This window comes from Homo sapiens, chromosome 14, assembly GCF_000001405.40.
Source record: "Homo sapiens chromosome 14, GRCh38.p14 Primary Assembly".
NCBI classification, from domain to species: Eukaryota; Metazoa; Chordata; class Mammalia; order Primates; family Hominidae; genus Homo; species Homo sapiens.
In genome coordinates, this window is record NC_000014.9 from 98,139,374 (window position 1) to 98,160,156 (window position 20,783).

Below are 20,783 nucleotides of genomic sequence, written 5' to 3' on the forward strand. Positions count from 1 at the left end.
GTGTATAACAGAGTCATCATATTCTTGGGTTTGATTTGTTCTTTTTTAAAATATGGAATTTTTGTTTAATTCCAAATGGTTTTCTTTATTCTTTTTGTTGTTGTACAATTTACCCTCAACCAAAGAAAGAATAACGATAATTTGGAGAGTTAAACTTATTTCATAGCTTTAAATAGGTGTGTGATTTCCACAGTGACTGACGTCTTACCTGTATTTTGAGATATTTGGAAATCTTTACCTGTTTCCCCAGTGGTCATGGACAGCCTTGGGCTTGACTTGGTTTAGATTCTCAGACACTGTGGTTTGGACTGGGCTGGGGCTGGGCCCAGCCTCTCAAGGCTTTGATTAATCCACTGCACCTCTCATTTTCCTGACTATAAAAGAGAAGCTACAGTTCTGAATAAGCATCTTGCAGAAGAAAGAAGCCAAAGCAGAAAGTATTAAACTTTCATCCAGCACCATAGGAGAGATGTAGTTATTAAATTTCAGCTGCTTATCAAACTGATATGAAAGTCATTTTGCATGATTGCTTTGCATCCTCAAATCTTCTGCTTTTATTTGCAATGCATCTCCGTGCTTTCTTATTAGAAAAATACTCAAAGGATAAAAAAGCTGATAATATTATTCGGTTTTGACAATTAGGTAGAAAAAGCATTCAAAGAAGTGCTTTTTTATTGCAGCTGGTAATACTATTGGAGGTCCTCCTGATAGCAGTCTATACTGATGCTACCCAAGGTGACACTGGTTTTATCTTTTAATTGCCGTGTACTGGTTATACTGGATCTGGGCAAGGGAGGCTATTTCTAATCTTTGCATTGGGACATAGGACTCTAGCTTATATGACAGGTTCAGCTTATCCTGAACCTCTTGCATTTGCTCACTCTTGACTTTATGTTGTGTCCACTGCTCTCACTTGTATTGGGCCTAGGATGAGGACTTTTGCTGACTATTCAACACACCTTTGTTGAATATTTACTGTGTGTTGGGAAATGCCTTAAGACCCAGAGATGTAGCTTCAAGCCATAGACCACCTACAATTGAATTTTATCTCCCCTTTTTCAATTAAATCATCAGAGTTCACTTTTAAATTATATGCACATATAAAATTCTAAATTATGTATACATTTATGCACATAAAGATATATGATTTTTTTCATCATTTCACTATCTTTTCGTGGTCCACAGAATGCAAAAATGATTATTTTGACTTATTTGCCAGTTCTATGGACCTTATTTTACTTTAGCCTTTTAAATAGCTCTATGAGGTAGAGACTCATTTTCTTTTGACAACAGAGGAAAGTGAAGCTTAGTGGGGTAAAGAGACTTGTTCAGGATCATACAGGTGGTATATGACATCTATGTGATTCAAGTCACGTCTGTGAGACTATAAAGCAGTGCTATCTTTTGGCCTTAGCCTACTGCCAGCATCTCCGTTAGCATCTCTCACCAATAGTCGTCAATGCCCTTTATTTCCATGTGTTCAGATTCTAGCAAAGTAGGGAGAGACCTCAGCACAACGGGCATCATCACCCAGTAATAGACATGAGCACCAAGGCTTTGGGAGCTGAGACAGAGGAGTAGGCGCCCCATGCACCAATATCTCTAAGCCCCATACTTTCTGCTTTTTTGCAAGGAAATGGAGATTGCTTACCACAACCATTAGACTGCTGCTGACAACAAGGGAGATGCAGCCACTGAAATCTAATTCTGGAGAGCTAAAGGGACTCTTGTCGGAAGAGGGAAGTGGTAGCTGTGCCCCGTGGAAATAGCTCAAACTGAAAGTCAAGGAAGATCCTAATTAATTTAACAATAATTTGTTGAGGTCCCACCATGAGCCAGACCTGGTTCTTGGTGCTTGGGATAGCAGGGAAACACATGAAGGCAAAGATGCTTGCAACGGTGGAACCTACGTTGTAACTGGGGAGTCAGACTAAACAGCAAGCCACAGCACAACATGTCAGAAGACAGTGTGCTATGGAAAAAATAAAAGTAAAGCTGGGTCAGGCAGAAATGGGGAGCAGTTTCAGTTTTCATATTAAATACCCTGATCAGGAATGTGAGATCTAGCCCCAGATATGTCTTGCGCATCTTTTCCTTCTAGGCTTCATATTTCATGAACCAAAATTTCCCAAACTTGATGGATCTTAGGAATCACTAAGGAGGAATGCGGTTTTTTAACTTTATAGAATCCCAGGCTCACCTAGGGATTCAGACTACCAGATTCTTCTGGACCTGGAGCCTCAGAATCTGCATTGTTTAACAAACCAGCCCAAAGTATTACAGATGTACAGCTTTATTTAAGAAGCCCTGGACTAAAAGGCCAAGCGTACTCTAGGGGCTCTAGAGTGAATCCTCTCTGTTCATCATCTCTGTGACCTTGGGAATATTATTGAACAAAGAGGTATTCTTTAACTTCTGTGGTTGTTAATGTGGGTTAACTAATACAACAAAAGTTGGCAAAACACCTAGCCCAGGTCTTGGCACAACATTGGGGCCATGTTTTTTTTTTTTTTTTTTTTTTCCTATTCCTCCTCATGGCACTAACATCAAATCATACTTCGTTGAAATTATGAACACAGGAGAAAGCCATTTGAATAGAAGCAGCAAGCTCTATAAAGGCTGAGAAAAGAGGAGAATAAAAAATTCGTAAGCTCAGGCATACTGAGTTATGCCTGTAATCCTAGCACTTTGGGAGGGAAGAGGGAGGATCTCTTGACCTCAGGAGTTCAAGACCAGCCTGAGAAACATAGCAAAACCCATCTCTACAAAAAATTAGCCAGGCATGGTGGCACATGCCTGTAGTCCCAGCTACTCATGGGGGTTGAGTTGGGAGGATCACTTAAGCCCAGGAGGCCAAGGCTGCAGTGAGCCCTGATAGTACGACTGCACTCCAGCCTGGGTGACAGAGCAAGACCCTGCCTCAAAAACAAAAGCAAAAACAAAAAGAATTTGTAAAGTGGTTACTCTGCCAAGAGAGAAAAATAACTCTAAGCCGTAATTTAGGCAGAGCCCATTTTACCAATGGGGTTGTGAAAATATGCATTCAAGTAGCTGAGATGATGAAGAAAGGATGGATCTTAATATTCTCCATAATTAATGCTCTCTATATTGGATGGGGTCTGATTTCCTCCAGGTTAGGGGTGACGGGAGACAGTGATCACTGAGTCTAGCTGGCTCAATGTCAGTAAGAACTGCTGCTATCTCTCTTGTTTGCACAAAAACCTGACATTCTGCCTTTGCCATAGAATTGTCTGCCATAGAATGAAATACAGCAGAAACCTGTATTTCATTCATCACCTCAGCTCTTACAAAGCTGAAATTGTATTTAAAAATTAAAAATGAAACAGAAATACAAGTGCCAAAGAGTGCACAGCACAAAAATATTCATCCATGCAAGGGAGGAATTATCTCTTTCACTTTTACCTCCCAAGCAGGCTCCTCCCGCTCCCCGCATCACTCCTTATCCTTTTACCCTGCTCTGTGCTTTATAGGACTTATTCCCACCTGATATATCATCTATTTCATTTGGGGTTTTGTTTGCTTGTTTGTTTTGCTATATACCATTACTTTCTCCCTCTTTTCAATACAGTGTCTTTGCTCACTGCCCCATCCCCTAACCTACCATGTTACAGGTGCTCAAAAAATATTTTTTTGAATAAATGAATCTCAACTCACTCCAGTTTTCCTACTGGTGGCATGTCACCGATCTAGTTATTCTGTCTTATAAGTTCATCTAGGCCACTAAGCTGGCATGATCATAGTATTAAAGGCAATTCAAAAAAGAGAGAGAGAAAAAAATACAGGGAGAAAGAGGAAAGTAATAGGAAATTGAGTATAAAGGCATTCAATCCAGCATTATCAGCTTTATAAATTATATGTCAATGTCTGTAGACTCCACGTATCTTATAGCTTAAATTTTAATTTGGGGTGTTTTTTTGTGGAATCCACCACGGTAAGGGCAGAGCAAGATTTTAATGGCCAAAGGCTATTTGCAGATTTGCTTGCAAAATTGCCAATTTCAAATATATTACAGAGAATTTGGACAAGACTGAAATATATTTGCAATGAGTCAAATATAGAGTTTATTTTTAAAAACATACTTTGATTAATTTCAGGTACCTAATTATCTCCTCAATTTAACAACTACTTCTGTTTAAATGACAGCTTTTAAAATATTTGACTCTAATAAACCTCCCCTGAAAACTTGTTATGCTATTAATTTGATAATACTTTTTGTAAATGGAATGTTCATTTGGTAAAGACAACTCAGTGTGTGTCTAAAAAAGTCAATCCTTGCAAGAATATGATACAAAATAGTATTTTACTATCTCACTACTAAAATGACTGTACTGAGTGTCCATCCCCTCTGCTCTGATGGTGTAGGGTGATGTTTCTTTGAGGCTGGGGATTGGATGACCATCCCAGCTGAAGCCTATCCAAAGCCCCCAAGTCTCTAAGGACTCCTATTGTAGAAGTGATTCTCACTGCAGTCCAGTCTCATACCCAAAGACAAGTTGAGAAACTCAGACTTCTACCCTTTTCCACGTGTTCTTGACAATAATGAAAAAGATGTTTGTAGTATCTAGATATGTCTTCCTTTCATAAAATCATCATTTGATGGTCAGCAACTAGAGAAGACTACAGAGAAACTGTGACTAAGAACAAATGGACTTCTCCTTTCCCATGAGATGTGGTATGTTGAGTGGCCACTTGGGAGTCAGGTTTAGATTCTGAGCTTAGTTCTGCCAATGACTGTTGTGTTCAAGTCCTTGTAGCTACATCTGTAGAATGAGAATATGGGACTAGCATTAATATTTTATCAGTTTATGAAGGTAAAAAAAAAATCATGGTGGACCATCTCTTAGACTTGTAAATTCAAGCCAGCAAGCATTTATGCATTGGACATTCTGTGCCAGGCCAGTTTATAGTCCCTCTGCTAAGTGGAATTAAAATATACAATACACATATGTGTATGCCCATGTGCACACACACTCACACACAAGACAGTGGCTGCCTGCAGGAGGATTGCAATCTTCAGGATGCTGTCAATTGGAAAGATAGTATCATATAGAAGAAAAAAAGTAGACTTCTGGGATTCAGATCTCAACTCCACCCATCAGCATCTCTGCCCTGGCGGGCAAGTTGCTTATTTGACCCAGAGTATCCTCAGCTGAAGAATAAATGGAGATAGGAATGTATACATTATGAGGTCATTACAGAGATTAACATAGACTTTTTTTTTTTTTTTTTTTTTTTGAGACAGAGTCTCACTCTGTTACCAGGCCGGAGTGCAGTGGCAGGATCTCGGCTCACTGCAACCTCCACCTCCCGGGTTCAAGTGATTCTCCTGCCTCAGCCTCCTGAATAGCTGGGACTACAGACACACACCACCACACCCAGCTATTTTTTTTTTTTAATTTTTAGTAGAGACGGGGTTTCACTATATTGGCCAGAATGGTCTCAACCTCTTGACCTCGTGATCCACCCACCTCGGCCTCCCAAAGTGCTGGAATTACAGGCATGAGCCACTGTGCCTAGCCAACGTAGTCTTTTTTAATAGACCATAATATATAATACTCTTATGCACACAGTAGGTGCTTGGTAAAGAGTGGTTGTGATGACTGTAATGATGACAATGATGGCAATGGAGATAGAAGGTTCTAGATTGAATCTTCCCATAAATGAGTTTGCCAGGACAATAGGAAATTGCAGCTCAGAAGCTGTAACTCAGGGACCTGAAGGCTATGAGTCACCACTTTGCTTCGTGCCTGTCAGTTCATTTTTGAGAATCCACAGAAATAGAAATGTTCTATCAGACCAACTTGGATTGCCATCTGGCCCACACATTTTCCTGGCACGGCCCGAAGGCCAGCACTGCTCTTCTCCCCTCCAAGCAAAACCCCAAGTTTAGCAGAACAAAATCTGCTGCTGAAATGCATCAAGCACGGCATCGGTTCATTATCACAATTAGCATATTAGTAGTAGTTATAAGGCAATTAATGTTAATAATAATTGAATCTGTGTTAAGGTCATTAATATAACTACTAGTTATTATAAATGGCTAGTATCCTATTTAATAAAAACAGAAACAGTAATAGGGAGTGCTTCATACTTTTCAAATGGCTTTCACATTTCTTCAGCTCACTGAGACTTCTTTGGAGATATTATTATCCTTAGTTTCTCTTTGGGGAAATTGAGGTTTGAAAAGTTAAGAGACTTATCCCAGATAATAAACTAACATGCAGAAAATTTGGAATTAGGAATTCCACCTTTCGACCACTGGGGTAGCAAGCCCTGGAGTTTGAGTAGAGAGAGGAGAGACATGTTCATCAAGTAAAGCACTATTTGGCACAACCACTGAGTATCACAGGATGCCAGGACCGGAAGAACTTTGGTGTCCATCAGATTCAATGCTTTTATTATACAAGTGAGGAAACTGAGGCCCAGAAAGATGAATTATTCCCCTCCAGTGAATAGCGTTGTGATACAAATTTCAAATTAATTTTTATGTCAGAGTCCCTTTATGTAGTCTCACTCTTGAGCCCCCGAAGTGACCTATTTAAAAATTTTCCTGTGAGCTGAAAACCAGATAATCAAGTTTGGTAAAAGTGTGTATTAACTTATCGATTTAGCTCTAAAACATACCTAGTTGTATTTCCCAACATGTGTCTCTTTTAATTCTGTGGCATAGTATTAGTTATTTTGTTAGGATTCCTTGGATAATTACATGTGAAATATACTGGGTTAAAATGTGACTTACACAGTCTCTGTTTTTGTTTTTATTACTGACCTTTTTATTTTTTTCCTGTGTTTCCATCCATGTTTGACCATAACATTATTTGCTCTCAGAAAACTCCTTGAGACTCATGTTTAATAGATCACAAAATTTGGGGAACTTGAGGGCAGTGGGATCTCTTGCAGGGCTTTCATGCATTTATTTGTAGCAGGTATTTCTGATATCTGAAAGTCTGCTGGGTTTGCTTCTGAGTGTGTGACCAATTTATGTCAGATTAAGGTCTGAAAATATCAACTGCAGATATGAGGGGAATCATAGCAATCTTGTTTTATTTTAACTCACAAGGACATTAGCAGCCACCGAATCCATGCTATGGGAGATGATTCCAAACTTCTTTTTCAGCCCTAAACCCCTAATGAGTGGCAGTCGTCCTCAATCACTGTTTACTAAGTGCCTACAATGTGCCACTTTTCCACCATTTCTGGCTATTTTTGGCTCCTTCTGGATCTGGGTGTCCTGCGGTGAGACACCTGAGGAGGAGGCATGCACAGAAGGGAGAGTATTTATAGGTTTGGGGCTTTGAAATTAGGTAGTTGTACTGGAGCAAATAATTTCTAACAATATCATAATCTCTGAAGGTGGCCAGATAAATAAAGCTGTGAGTGAAAGCAGTCATTTCTTCTACGTCTCCCGGATTGTGTAGCTACTGGAAAAAAAAATTCTTATTGAAGAAAATTAAGAATAATTAGAGAAGAAATGAGAAAAGTCAAAAGGATTTGGCCAAAAGCTTGGTAACATTTGCAATTTTCCTCCGAGAGACGTTCGTTTTACTAGTAACCCTTAAAATGCACAGGCTTTGAGATGGAGGAGTTAGTTCTTACTGATCTAAAGTTTGGCTTCAGCTGTGTCAGTCTCAAAAATCTGTTTGTTTGTTTTATAAGTTTTTAGGAAAAAAATATTGACTTTGAAAATTGCATGAGAATAAAAAGTCCAGTGAACAATAACTTTCTTTCTCAAAGACCTATACATATGGATTTTTTAATTTTGCATTCAGGACCACATTTTCAGCCGCTTTTCCTCCCCCAGCCTCCTCTTTAAATATGTAAAACTCTGCATGCCTCTAATTGTTCCTTCAGTTGTCCACTTGCACCTTCAAATTATGGGACAAGTGGCCAATTGGGCCTGCAATTGGCTAATTGCACCGACAATTAGCCAATTGTGGGTATAATTAGCTGCATGTAGAATTAATCATATGCATAAAGTGGGCGTCCACTCTTTGAAATCATAGAACTAAATGTGTTCTAGATGCACATCTGTACTCGGGCACAAAAGGGACACAGGCGAGAATCCTGGATGAATCACTGTTAAGAGAATCATTAAAACAAATCTGGTGCTTGGTTAAAAACGCCACATGATTCAATTCTGAATATTAGGTCTACTTGCTTTCTTTATAAGGAGCTTGGTATGGACAAGGCAAAGAAGATAAAATTCTTTCATCAGAAGCCTTCTGCAAGAAAATGTCGTGGCGGCTGTCACCATCCAATTGCATTTTTTAAAAAATTAAATGGTTGGATTTATGATACAGTTGGCCAGTTGTAGCAGGTGGACTCTGTCACTCGAGTCTCCATAAGGAATTACATTCAGTTTGGTCCAAATACTTGCCACAGTGAGACATGTTCCATCTCAGTCACATTTAGCACTCATGTTTCTTAGTCTGGTTTGTGCCTATTCTTGGGGAGACCAGGGGAACCACAGGCAAAAGTGGTATCCCAGGATAAACACATTGAACGTTTTCAAAGCAGTAATTTTATGTGATGGCAAGCAAGATAAAATAATTTTAAGTTTCAAAGTAAACAACAGAAAATTTTGAAAGCAGTTAAAGTTGTAGTGGTTAAAATCTCTCCTTAGATTCATTATTTATTAACTCTGGGACTTTGAGCAATAATTTATTTAACTTTCCTATAATCTAATTTCTTCATCTATAAAAAATTAATATAAACGAGTGATAACTACCTCATAGGGTTTTTTTTAGAATTAAATAAGGTTATTTAAAATTATATAACAAAGGTGAGAGCATGGAGGGAAGTAGACAGAAAGAGAAAAAGAGAGAGAGAGACATGAAAATCCAAGACTCAATAAATCAAGACATTAATTTATTAAAAGCGCTGTGATTTCCTGCTATAAATAATTATTTGTTTATCTCAGAATTTTGCCAAACAAAAATGATCAAATATCAGTCTTTTTTTGGTAATAATATTACTAGCCACTAGAAAATACCAGTCTAAATCAAAAATGGTCAGTGGATGCCCATTGACCACAGAGCAAATTTCAGATACTTAAGCTGATTTCACTCTTCATCATGGGCCCTATACTTCCCTTCTACTCTAATCTTTTATTTATGGAGGAGCCTTTCAGAAATGTACCCATACTCCAGGCAAGCTTGTTTACTGAACCTGCCCACCATGCTACCCACCCTTATGTTTAAAGTGATCATCATTGACATGAGACAAAGGCTATGAGAAATGCATGGGGCTATATCCAGAGTTAGAGGTTTTGAAGGAGAGAACTGCAAATAAGAAAACATTGGCCGATAATAGAGACATGTTTCTTTATTACCTAGATAGAGTCTTTTTTTTTTTTTTACATGAAGTCTTGCTGTGTCACCCAGGCTGGTGTGCGGTGGTGCGATCTTGGCCCACTGCAACCTTCACCTCCTGGACTCAAGCGATCCTGAGTAGCTGGGACTACAGGCGTTCGCCACCATGCCTGGCTAATTTTTGTATATTTAGTAGAAATGGGTTTCACCATGTTGGCCAGGCTGGTTTAGAACTTCTGACTTCAAGTCATCTGCCCACCTCAGCTTCCCAAAGTGCTGGGATTACAGGCATGAGTCACCGTGCCCAGCCCATTTTTTTCCTAAGTTCTAACTTTTGGCTGGGTTTTGAACACGTATCAGTATTTAATGCATACAAAATACACACACGCCATATGTATTTCAAGAAAGGAAGAGAGGTAGGATAAGAAGTACTTGTTTTTACATCAGGTACTTTTACAGGTGTTGTTTCATTTGCTTTTCAAAATAATAACATTACATACGAAATAATTGCCCAGTTTCTAGGATAAGACTACTGAGTCTTTGAGAAGTTAAATGATTTTCCCCAAGTCATATAATAGCAAGTAATAAAGAGACAGCATTCAATTTCTTGTACATATATCTCAAAAATTTACGTTGAACAAGCTTGATAAACATAAACCATTAGAGACTTAGAATTATAAAGAAATATTATAATTGTATCTCATGTTCAAATGCATATAACAACCTGTTTAAGAATAAGCACCTCAACAAAAGTACGCATTTGTGATTTTCTAGATAGGTATTAGTTTGTGTTAGGAAATTCTACAAGGATCATGTTGATGCTGAGGTCACATTTTGTGTTTTCTTCAAAATTGAATTGAGCTTAAACTCTGGATTTACAAACCAATGTCTGAATTCCTGAAAGAACTCAAAGCAAGTCAAGGCCAGAATGATGTCCTCAATCTCTGTGCCATTGCAGAGCCCAAACTCAAGAGAAATGCACAAGAGATGACTTATTCATTGAACACACTTTTCTAGTTGGCCCTTTGTCCAAGCTGACTGGTGGACTGTTCATTGATAACATATTTGATGTTTCACCAAATATATTGTCAGCATTTAAACAAATGTACTCTTCATGCCATCATTCTTGACCCACACTTCCAATGTTACCTCTCTATGAATTCCCTGGCTCGGCTCTGGCTCACGCCTGTAATCCCAGCACTTTGGGAGTCCGAGATGGGTGGATTACTTGAGGTCAGGGGTTTGAAACCAGCCTGGCCAATATGGCAAAACCTTGTCTCTACTAATAGTACAAAGTTAGCCGGGCGTGGTGGTGCGTGCCTGTAATTCCAGCTACTTGGGAGGCTGAGGCAGGAGAATTGCTTGAACCTGGGAGGCGGAGGTTGCAGTGAGCCAAAATCGTGCCATTGCACTGCAGCCTGGGCAACAACAGTGAAACTGCATCTTAAAAAAAAAAAAAAAAAAAAAAAGAAAGAAATTCTCCTTGTCACCTCAGGATAGATCTAAATACTTTTCAATAGTCTTACACTTCCTGGCTTATAATATGTAACTATTGTGTTCTTATCTGTATCTGTCAGCTGTGCTGTAATGATGCTGTGTAACAGATAACTTCCAATTATTTGTTACCCCATGTTACATGCCAGCCTTAGGTAGGCTGAAGCTTTGCAGCTCTGTGCTCAAAGGCTCCCCTCCAATCTTCTAGTGGAATGAGGATCTGCTTCCTGGGTCTTCTCATACTGGGACCCAGGTTAAAGGAAGAGCCCCTGCCTGCTGAATATTGTTTGTTCATGGCAGATATCACGAATAAGGGAGTTGGCTGAAACTCTCACTGCCTCTAAAAGCTCTTACATAAATGAGGTTAATGTTACATTTTTTTAAACGTCCTGTTGGCCAAAGAAAATCATACAATCAACCTCAATGTCAAGGAAATGGGATATAAACTCTTCAGAACTGCAAAAGTGGAGAGGAAGTAAATGTTTATGTACAAAGAACAAAATTGATTTTGTTATCTACATATTATGTTTCTCCCCCACTGATCAATAAGGTAATGGGTCATAAAATAGATATCTGTCTTTCAATCTCTTATTTCTAGCATATAGTGTGTTTCCAGAGAAAGCTTATTTAATACTTGAGTATGTCTTTAGATTCACTGGTAAAGGAGTAAAGGCATTAAATGGTACTTTCTAAAATGGTTAAATTGTATCAATATTTAGCTTTTTACATTTCTCTCTCTCTTTCTCCTCACACACACACACACGCACACATCTTTTCCTTTAATAGTGCCATTTTAAAGATGAAGAAACTGACCTAAAGAAATGAAGAAAGTCTGTGTCCAAGGTAACATAGTTAACAAGTATCAGGATGATAAATCATACAGTCTTGTTGGACTGCAGATCATATAATCTAATCCATAATCTACCTACATTGTCTTCTTCTGCTTTGGCAAACTGGATGAAGCAAAAGAGCAAATGGTTTAAGCAAGAGTGTGTTAGGGGAGCTTCTTAGATGATGTGCCAGGATATTAGAGTCAAGCAAGGAAGGTCATGCCTTCCTTTTGTCTTACTATAAGAAGAGGCGAATATGAAGATACACCATGTAAGGGCATCCTTACCATAGGCATTAGCAGCAGATACTCTTGTAGGTTGAGGGATCATCTAGCAGTGCTTGCCTAACTTTCTTATATTACAGCACACATAAGAAATGGTTTTATCTGTTTGACACTGCAAGAAACAGCAGATGTGTGAGCAATCTGGAAAGAGGTGACATAGGCCTATGAGGCCACCTAAAATAACTGGAACACCCTGCTGAGGACAAGCCTACTGGAGATCGCCCCATGCTCCAGAAAGACACACACTCACTCCAGTGGGAACCAGAGGGGATGGGTAAAAAGGTTGGGATACAACCCAGTCATAGGCAAGGTGACCTAACACCTTGCATGAAATATTTCTCAGAGGTTTACTAAGCACTCACGTAAATACTGATGAATTCTTTATTCGAAATTCAACTGACGGCATAGGATTGGAATAAATTACAGTATAATAACTGGTCTTGTGAGTCATTCAATCTGAGAATGTGAAGGACTTTAAATGTCATTATTCTGATTCCGCACTTCAGGGCTTGAACACCCCTATGTGTGCATTGCCCATTTGAGTCCTCAACTGTCCTCAGCACAGCCCAGTCTTTTCAAGAGACAATTTCTTTAATTATATGGGAAACTCTAGTTCAGAATCAATAAATTTTATAATGATCACTTGTTTTTTAAGCTTGCTCAAAAGGATAGGAGACTGCAGTAGCTGATAAAAGTGTTATTACTCAGAGAATTGGTTATTAGCAGGCCAACCAGAAAGAGAAAGACAAAAAAGTGTTGTTTTCAAAAATTAGAAAATATAAGGACAAAGAACCATGGTGTTCTGGCACATTTGGTATAAGGGCACCTCAAAGTCATGATTGTTTATGTAACTAATAAGTGTTATACACAAAATAAAGTTTGAAGAATAATTAAGTGGTTTTGAATATGTATTGCAAAGTTTTCCCACCGCATTGAGATAAAACAAACACATAAAAAAAGACGATAGGAATAAATTTGCCTTCAGAGGCAGAAAGGGAAGGATTCACCCTTGTTGAAGTCCCACCTTATGCCTGAGATTATACACCTGTTATTTCCTCTAGTTAGCATAAAAAGATCTTTTAGGTCTGTTTCATCTCATTTTTACCACTGAGGAGGCTGAGATTCAAGGAAAACCCTCTTGGTTAAATTTATATTGAGAGCCTCTAATCCAAGGGCTTTCTCTTCTAACGTCCCTGCTGTGAGATGTATGGATAATATGGATAATCCTTGCATGTGGAAGTGTGTTTCCAGATGAAGTAAGAAAAGTTGAGGTTCTGGTATTAAAGATAATGTCTTGGAAGACAGGGGGTTGTCAACATTTTGCGCAAAGTCATCTGCAAAACTAAACCCAGATCCAGGGCCCTTCCCTTCCCTGCCTAGCTGGTTGCAAGTTGCAAGCTCCTTCCCCTAAGTGAATAAGAGAGGGAGGTAGAGCTTGGACTTCACATGCAGCCTGCCTGTGTGAGTGACCGACAGCAGGCTCACCCAAAGCATCAACTAAGTTTTGCTTTCTTGTATGTATAAATAACAACAGCAATGTGCCACTAGCACAGTGCCGTTTCATTTAATGGCGCAGCACTGAGCAACTTAATTAATCTTTTGGTCTCTGAAACATTCATCATAGTTTTTCAGGGGCTCTGAAAAAATGTGCTTGCCTCTTGAAGCCATTGACACAGAGACCAGTGAGGAGTGAGTTGGCTTTCCCTTAACAAATTTGCTCAGCTGTGAATCTGGGGTCTAATGCTTTTGAAAGTGGAATTTCTGTAGATGTTAGTCATGGATTTAAAAAGTAAAGACTGATTGCATTTCTACGATGAGTCCCTACTGTGTGCCAGGATAAGCACTGGGCTATTTTACTTAACTGTTCTCATTAATTCATCACTAAAGCCCAGCGAGGCAGGTATCTTTATATTCATTTTACAGATGAGAAAATTAAGAACTGGAGAGATAAAGCTACTTCACCAAAGCCACATTTCTAGCTAGGATTGGAACATGGGTCTGTCCAAAACCCTTACCAGGATCATGAAATTTGTAGTTAATTGTAACAATACTGATTATAGTTATAATTGAAGCAAAACTTACATACCATTGGCTATGTAAGTTATTGTATATTCATTTAATTATATGCCAGGCATTTCTGCATACATGATTTATTTGGATTCTCCAAATAATCTAGCAAGTTAGACATATTGTGCATTTGTATTAGTAGATTCATGATGGAATTCTTCAATAATTATTGTAAACCTTAGTCAATATGCAATATTAGTCAACAGCACTTTGCTCTTATTTATAAGTACAATAAATAACATTTAGTTAAGATTATTCCTTCATTTTGTAAAATGGCTTGATACCTAGTTTGTTGGCTTTTGTGATGTTTGAAAATGAGATAGGTTATGACATGTGCATAACATAAGGTGATAGATAAATAACTAGTTTTAATGGGTAAATGATGGCATCTATACCACTGAGCTTGATGATATCAGTATGCAAAGAATCAAATGTATTTTTTCAGAGGGAACTAAGATACCTTAGTGCCTCCTTCCACCCGGACTCCCTTCTAAAGCTACAAACTGCAATATTGATCAGATCTTTAAAGTGACCTTACTCTATGGCAGTGAAATTACGTTTTAGTAATTTATCCTAAGAAAATAATCAGAGATATACTATACATTATAGAAAGATATGCATGTTGGATTATTATAACAAAATACTGGCAGCATCCTAAGATTGTGACTGGTGATATCAGTTATAGCGTATTCATTTAACCGCATACGATGAAGTCCTTGAAGATGGTATGTACATGTACAGATACAGGCACACATACATGCGCATGAGCTGGCACACACACATACACACATCTATAGGCAAAGAACAGAAGAATACCAAGAACAATTTAACAGTGGCTTCATTTTGGGTGAGGAGGGGATTATGGATGAGTTTTGGTAGTGTGTGTGTTTGTGAGTGTGCGTGCACACACGTGTGTGTGCGTGTGTGCGTGTGCCTGTGTGTTGTGCTTCATTCATCTTCTTTCTGTTTGCCAGGTTTTCCTCATTGAGTATGACTTCTCTAGTATGGCTAGCAAATGAAGAATCATGCTGACATACTCTGTGGTGTAGCCCAATCCTGCTCTTAACCATGACCATTACTGTAACTCAAACAAAACATCCTGGAACTGGTCATACCTTCATAGCCTCAGTGAACTGTGTAGTCTCCTTGGTAATCATGGATAACTGGTAGATGCTTCAGGTTCTAAATGAAGCCATGATGCTGGGATCCATTAACAAAATCCAAAGTGAATTTGTCTTAAACATTTGCAAGTGGATGGAGGAGAATCTCCACATTTCTATGTGGACGGTTCAGATGGCAAAGCAACGGTTTCTGCAGTGAAACAGGTTTCATACAAGGACACTATCAGTATAGGTAATATGCCTTTGTTTATTTAAACTCTTGGTCATTTAGTTTTCTGCCAGTTATTTCCAGAACAGAGTAATTTATGATGTGCAGGGTAGGCACCCTCAACAAGTTCACATAGTAGGGTATCTTAACATTAACAACAAAACAGGAGTCTGCAACATCAGATTGTAGCATTCCTCAGATTAACTGATTAAAACATGCCTATTAATGAAAGGCTTTGATGCATTAATTCAGTAACCTTTTAAAATGATTTGTTGTATTTTAATCCCAATAGAGTCTCTCTCTCTCTCTCTCTCTATATATATATATATATATTTATATTTATATATTCATTTAACTGCATACCATGGAGTCCTTAAAGATGATATATACATGTACAGATACAGGCACACATACAGGCATATATATATATATATATAGAGAGAGAGAGAGAGAGAGAGAGAGAGAATTGCATACACATGCTCTCTCTCCACACACACACACACACACACACACACACACACACACACTAGCATGTAGTATGCTTCTATGCAAAATCTAACACTTATTTATATGAACAATGAACTTAATGAACATAAACTATTGAGCACTTACCATATGCACCAGGCATTGTGCTCAGTGTTTTCTAAGTATTATTTTTGTCTGACTGCCATCACCTCTTTAACAAATGGGACACTGGCTTGAGAGGTTAGTAACTTGGCATGGTCACACAACGCGCTTATCCCTGACCCTTGAGCCCATATCCCACATGATTAGGGATGACTAGTTACAGTTTTACAAAGCCTGTTTAGTCCTACAGAAAACCAAAAGGATGGAACCTACCTCCCAGTCATCTTGGGGACTTACATTGGGAACTTTCGCAAAGACGATCAACACAATTGTTTCTAAAAACACTGGTGCAGACTATGGGAGGAGCCACCTGCTGAAAACTGAGGCTGAAATTCATACCTTGGATAGCTCTGTGATGCATGCAAGTATTTGCGTGCTTGCCAGGATATTAAAAACATCCAGTTGTTTTGCAGCCTCACCTCATAGTGGGTCAGACCCGGGAGTCCTAGAAAAAGCAGTGTGGGTTGTAAGATCCCCCTGTCCTGCACTCAGGGGCTGGCCTTGCTTCCACTCACTGGGTCTACGACTGTGGGTGAGGACCTTTCTCTCTCTCAGCTTCAGTTTCCTCAGCAGCAAATATATCAGGCAAGAGGTTTGGGCTGTGTGTGCCAAGCTCTTTTACCCAAGGATCCTAAGACCTGAAAACAATGAGTTTTTATTCTCTCTGGCATCACTCACACAAGCACAGGCACTTAAATGTCTCCATTTGAGATATGACTATTTACCAAAAGATTCAACAGCCTTATCCTCTTTCAGGCTAAGCTTTTTTCTAGTTGTTGGTTTGTTGTTTGCTTAGGTTTTTGTTTTGTTTTGTTTTAGGAGGGAGAGGATGTTTTGTTTGTTTTGTTTTGTATCTGATTCAGCTAATGTTCTAAAAAGTAGAGTAGGATACTCATCACTTGGCCTCAGTTAGGAAGAGGACTCCCTGGGATGCTCCCTGCTGTCTTCCTCAGCACCCGCAGGTAGATGTTTTGTGTCCAGGCATCGTGGGAGACCGCAGGGAGGAAGAGCCATATATACGGTTGAGACAAGCTATGGAAGCCCAGTCTCTGAGTCCAGGGGGTGTCATTCTTTGCTGCTGCTTCTAAGGGGTGAATCTGCATCGATCAATGCATTCACTCCACTCTCCCCCTGCCTCTCCCTCAGTTAACACCCCAGCACACACAAAACCAACGAAGGTGATTATCTCTGCTAGCATAATTCCTCCCTAACATCTGCTTTCGCCCATAACACTCCACTAATTTTTCCCTCATTTCATTACACATAATTTTCTTTCAACACAATCTACATGTATTAAGTGGTAATGACTTTCCAGTTAAGAGCAAATCGACACCAAGGGACCACCGGCCCCCCCACGGTTGCCTGCAGAGCCTGACTCTGGCTATTAGAGATAAATTCGGTACCTCAGGAAGCTGCAGTGAGGTAATCAATCAATTAAGCGGTTAGGACATACATTATCAAACTTCCACAGTGCGGGGGGCAGGGGGCCATGCTGATCTACTTGCCATGATTTTTTAGGAATTCAAAAAAATGAATAAATAAGATGGAGAGCTATTATACAACCAGGCTATAATTTGCCACTCAAAGTCAGGGGCTGGTGTTGTCAGACTCAATGCTGCAGAGTAAATGGGGGAAACTGTGGTCCTGTATGTGCCCTGTCTGGGTGGGAATCACGCCTCTATTGTTTACTAGCATTGTGTCCTGGGGTGCACAGGGGGCACCTGGGAGTCTGAAGTTCCTGCCCATTAAAAAGGAAAAGAGACACCCAGAATTACAACTGTGACTGCCTAGGTTTGCAGTGGGGATGAACTAAGACCATGCACATGGAAGCACCTAGCCCACAAGGGGCACTCAGGAAACCTTAATGACCTTACTCTGCCTGTAGACTTTGGACTTAGGAAATGTAAGGTGACCAGAGATCACCAAAATGCCGACATCAGACTTAGAATTAGTCATCGTCGTTGTCCTCATCATCGTCATCATCATCATCATTTTCCTCAAGTTTTTGAAGAAAAAGCCAAAATTCATAGAATCCTGAAAATAAATTCAGAATACGTACCAGTCCTTGCTCCCTTGCTGAATTTATAGGTGTTCCCTTTGTACCCACATCTCAGATAACCTCATCTGTAAAAATGGGTGTATTAACATCATCCACCACAGCAAGGATTATTGGAACACTCAAGAGAAATATATATTAAACTGCTTTGAAAATTGTAAAGCATAAACAAAATGGGATTATATTTAATAATATAATTTAACCTACTTTTTTTTTCCTAAACTTGATTCCTCCTGTAAATATTGCATGAGTCTGAAAAGTATATTAAATGGTTCAAAAAATAAGCTAACGGCAAAGGCAGAAGGCAAAAAACAAAAAGATGGGTAAGTGTGACAGTACGAAAATGAAATATTTATCAAATAAATAAACTAAATAGACAGAATATTTTTAATGTATGTGTCAAATAATAATGCGTAAATGTGTTTATATGATACATAATATGTAAGTTCTAACAAACTGATTAAAAGGAAAAGATAATAAAATAGGAATTTTAATAACAGTATATAATGTTTACTACATTACAAGCACTGCCCTAAAAGTTTCATGTATTTGAATTTATTTAACAAGAAAAAAATCAAATAAAAATCAACAAATAAAGAAACAAACACTGAGGCCGGGCATGGTGGCTCATGCCTGTAATCCCAGAGTACTTTGAGAGGCCAAGGCGGGAGATCACCTGAGGTCAGGAGTTTGAGACCAGCCTGGCCAACAAGGTGAAGCCCCACCTCTACTAAAAAAAAATACAAAAATTAGCTGGGTGTGGTGGCGCACACCTGTAATCCCAGCTACTCGGGAGGCTGAGGCAGGAGAATCACTTGAACCCAGGAGGTGGAAGTTGCAGTGAGCCAAGATTGCACCACTGCACTCCAGCCTGGGTGACAGAGCAAGACTCCATCTCAACAACAACAACAACAACAAAACAAAACAAAACACAAAAGAAAGAAAGAAACACAGAAATAATATATAAAAATGTTAAATCTCCTTATAGTCAAGGAAATGAAAAATGGCATTGAGGAATTATGGTTTTTTTATCTATCAAGTTCATAAGGTTTTGAAAACTGCCATCGCTGGTGCTGAGGCTTCAGGAAAAGAGATATTTTCTATACTGCTGGTGGAAGTGTAAATTGATTTTTAAAAAATAGAAAAGAAAAAAAAAACTTTTTGGGAAGAAAATTTCCAATCTGCATCAAAAGCTTAAACATATACCCACCCATTGACCCAAAAATTATACTTCCCTGGAGTTTACTCTTAAAAAATTAAGGGATGTTAGCAAATATTTAATGACAAAGATGTTCACCACATTGTTGTTTATAGCAGCAAAATCTTGCAAGTGGTAGAGTCTCATGCTGGGAGATGGTGTTCATTCACCATTCACGGAGCAGTTTCACTGAGCACTTGCCCAGGATCAGGCCATGATCCAAGGGCTGACACAGTGCAGAGAGCAAAATAGACTGGGTCTCATGCTCATGGACATCCAGTTATAGTGCAGGAAGATCTAACAAGTGGTGTTGTGTGCATGTGATGGAATACTGTAGGTCTGTTTTCGCAAAATATTTACTTAGGGCCTACCGTATTCCAGGCACTGTTCTAAATCAGGACACGGCAATACACAAGGCGAGGAATCTCTGCACTCCTAGAGTTTATGTTCTAATTGGGAAGATAGAAAATATATAACTAAATATTGTGTTGCTGCAGTGTATTTCATGATGTGGAGAAGAAAAAAAAATCATGTTCTAAGAAGTGAAAATGGCTATATGACAGTGCCTGCAGTGTGAAGCCATTGGTGTAAATCAGCAGAAATAGGCAAGCTACACATTTCTAAAATGTTAGGAGGATTTACACCAAGTCTCCAGATTTTGTTCTAAATTTTTTGCATTTGTTACTTTTAAAATAAAAGCAAAACTAAACTGAAGCAGAGATTACTGATACATACATACATCAAGTCAATGCTTAGCTATTGATTCTACTTCTAAAAAAGTCATTGGATTTATACTTTGTGAAAGCCTCAAGATTTGATTTCTTAATAACTAGAAACAGTAATGAAAATGAGTGCTAGGTCATTCTCCTGATTTTGTTTTTCATAGTATATAAGACTTATGTCCTAAGATCTGAAAAAAAGCAAAAGACCTTAGGATTCATCTTCAGCCCAGTACTCAGTTCAGAGTGGAGGAAATTTAGGAGACTTGCTCAATTCTTAAAGTAAGAATTGGGCCCTAATCAACTCAAAATGACTTGGTTTCACATTTTTTTTCAAAACACAACCTCACTATCTTCCTCTCTATGATTTTAGTTTAATACTCAACCTATTGCTACCTGCTCAGTATCTAAAATGACAGAAAGCAGGGAGAGGAGTAAAAATATCACCAACAATGATTAGCATTTCCATGATACAGTCTACCTCTAAACAAAAGCAGGACAAAGCTAACTAAACTATTGTTTAATCTCCTTAGAATAGAAGTAGCTTCTCCATCCTGTGCACAGGTAAAGGGAAAGTGAGAATGGGCATATCATAGGAGCTATATTTTACCAATGAGAAATAACGAATGCTTTATTGCTGAACTAAAATTGTTCAAGCCTATTTTGATCACGATGTAGTTCTATACATTTGTAAATGCACCCTGAATTAACCTGGAAAGCAGCAAGTTAGACATTGTCTCCTTTATCAACACTGACACTAGGATAATTATTTAGGATAATTATTAGAACATAACTGTAGGGCGCTTTATGGTTTACAGATCCCACTTACAAACATCTGTCATGTGAT

General features: G+C 38.7%; 2 long non-coding RNA genes across 2 annotated transcripts in view; one reads left to right on the top strand and one right to left on the bottom strand.

Annotated features, from left to right (window-relative positions):
- The window catches only part of LOC105370655 (uncharacterized), a 102,277-nt gene that overhangs the window by 75,486 nt on the left and 6,008 nt on the right, over window positions 1-20,783 (bottom strand). The window lies entirely within an intron of this gene.
- The window catches only part of LINC02295 (long intergenic non-protein coding RNA 2295), a 30,747-nt gene that overhangs the window by 3,387 nt on the left and 6,577 nt on the right, over window positions 1-20,783 (top strand). The window lies entirely within an intron of this gene.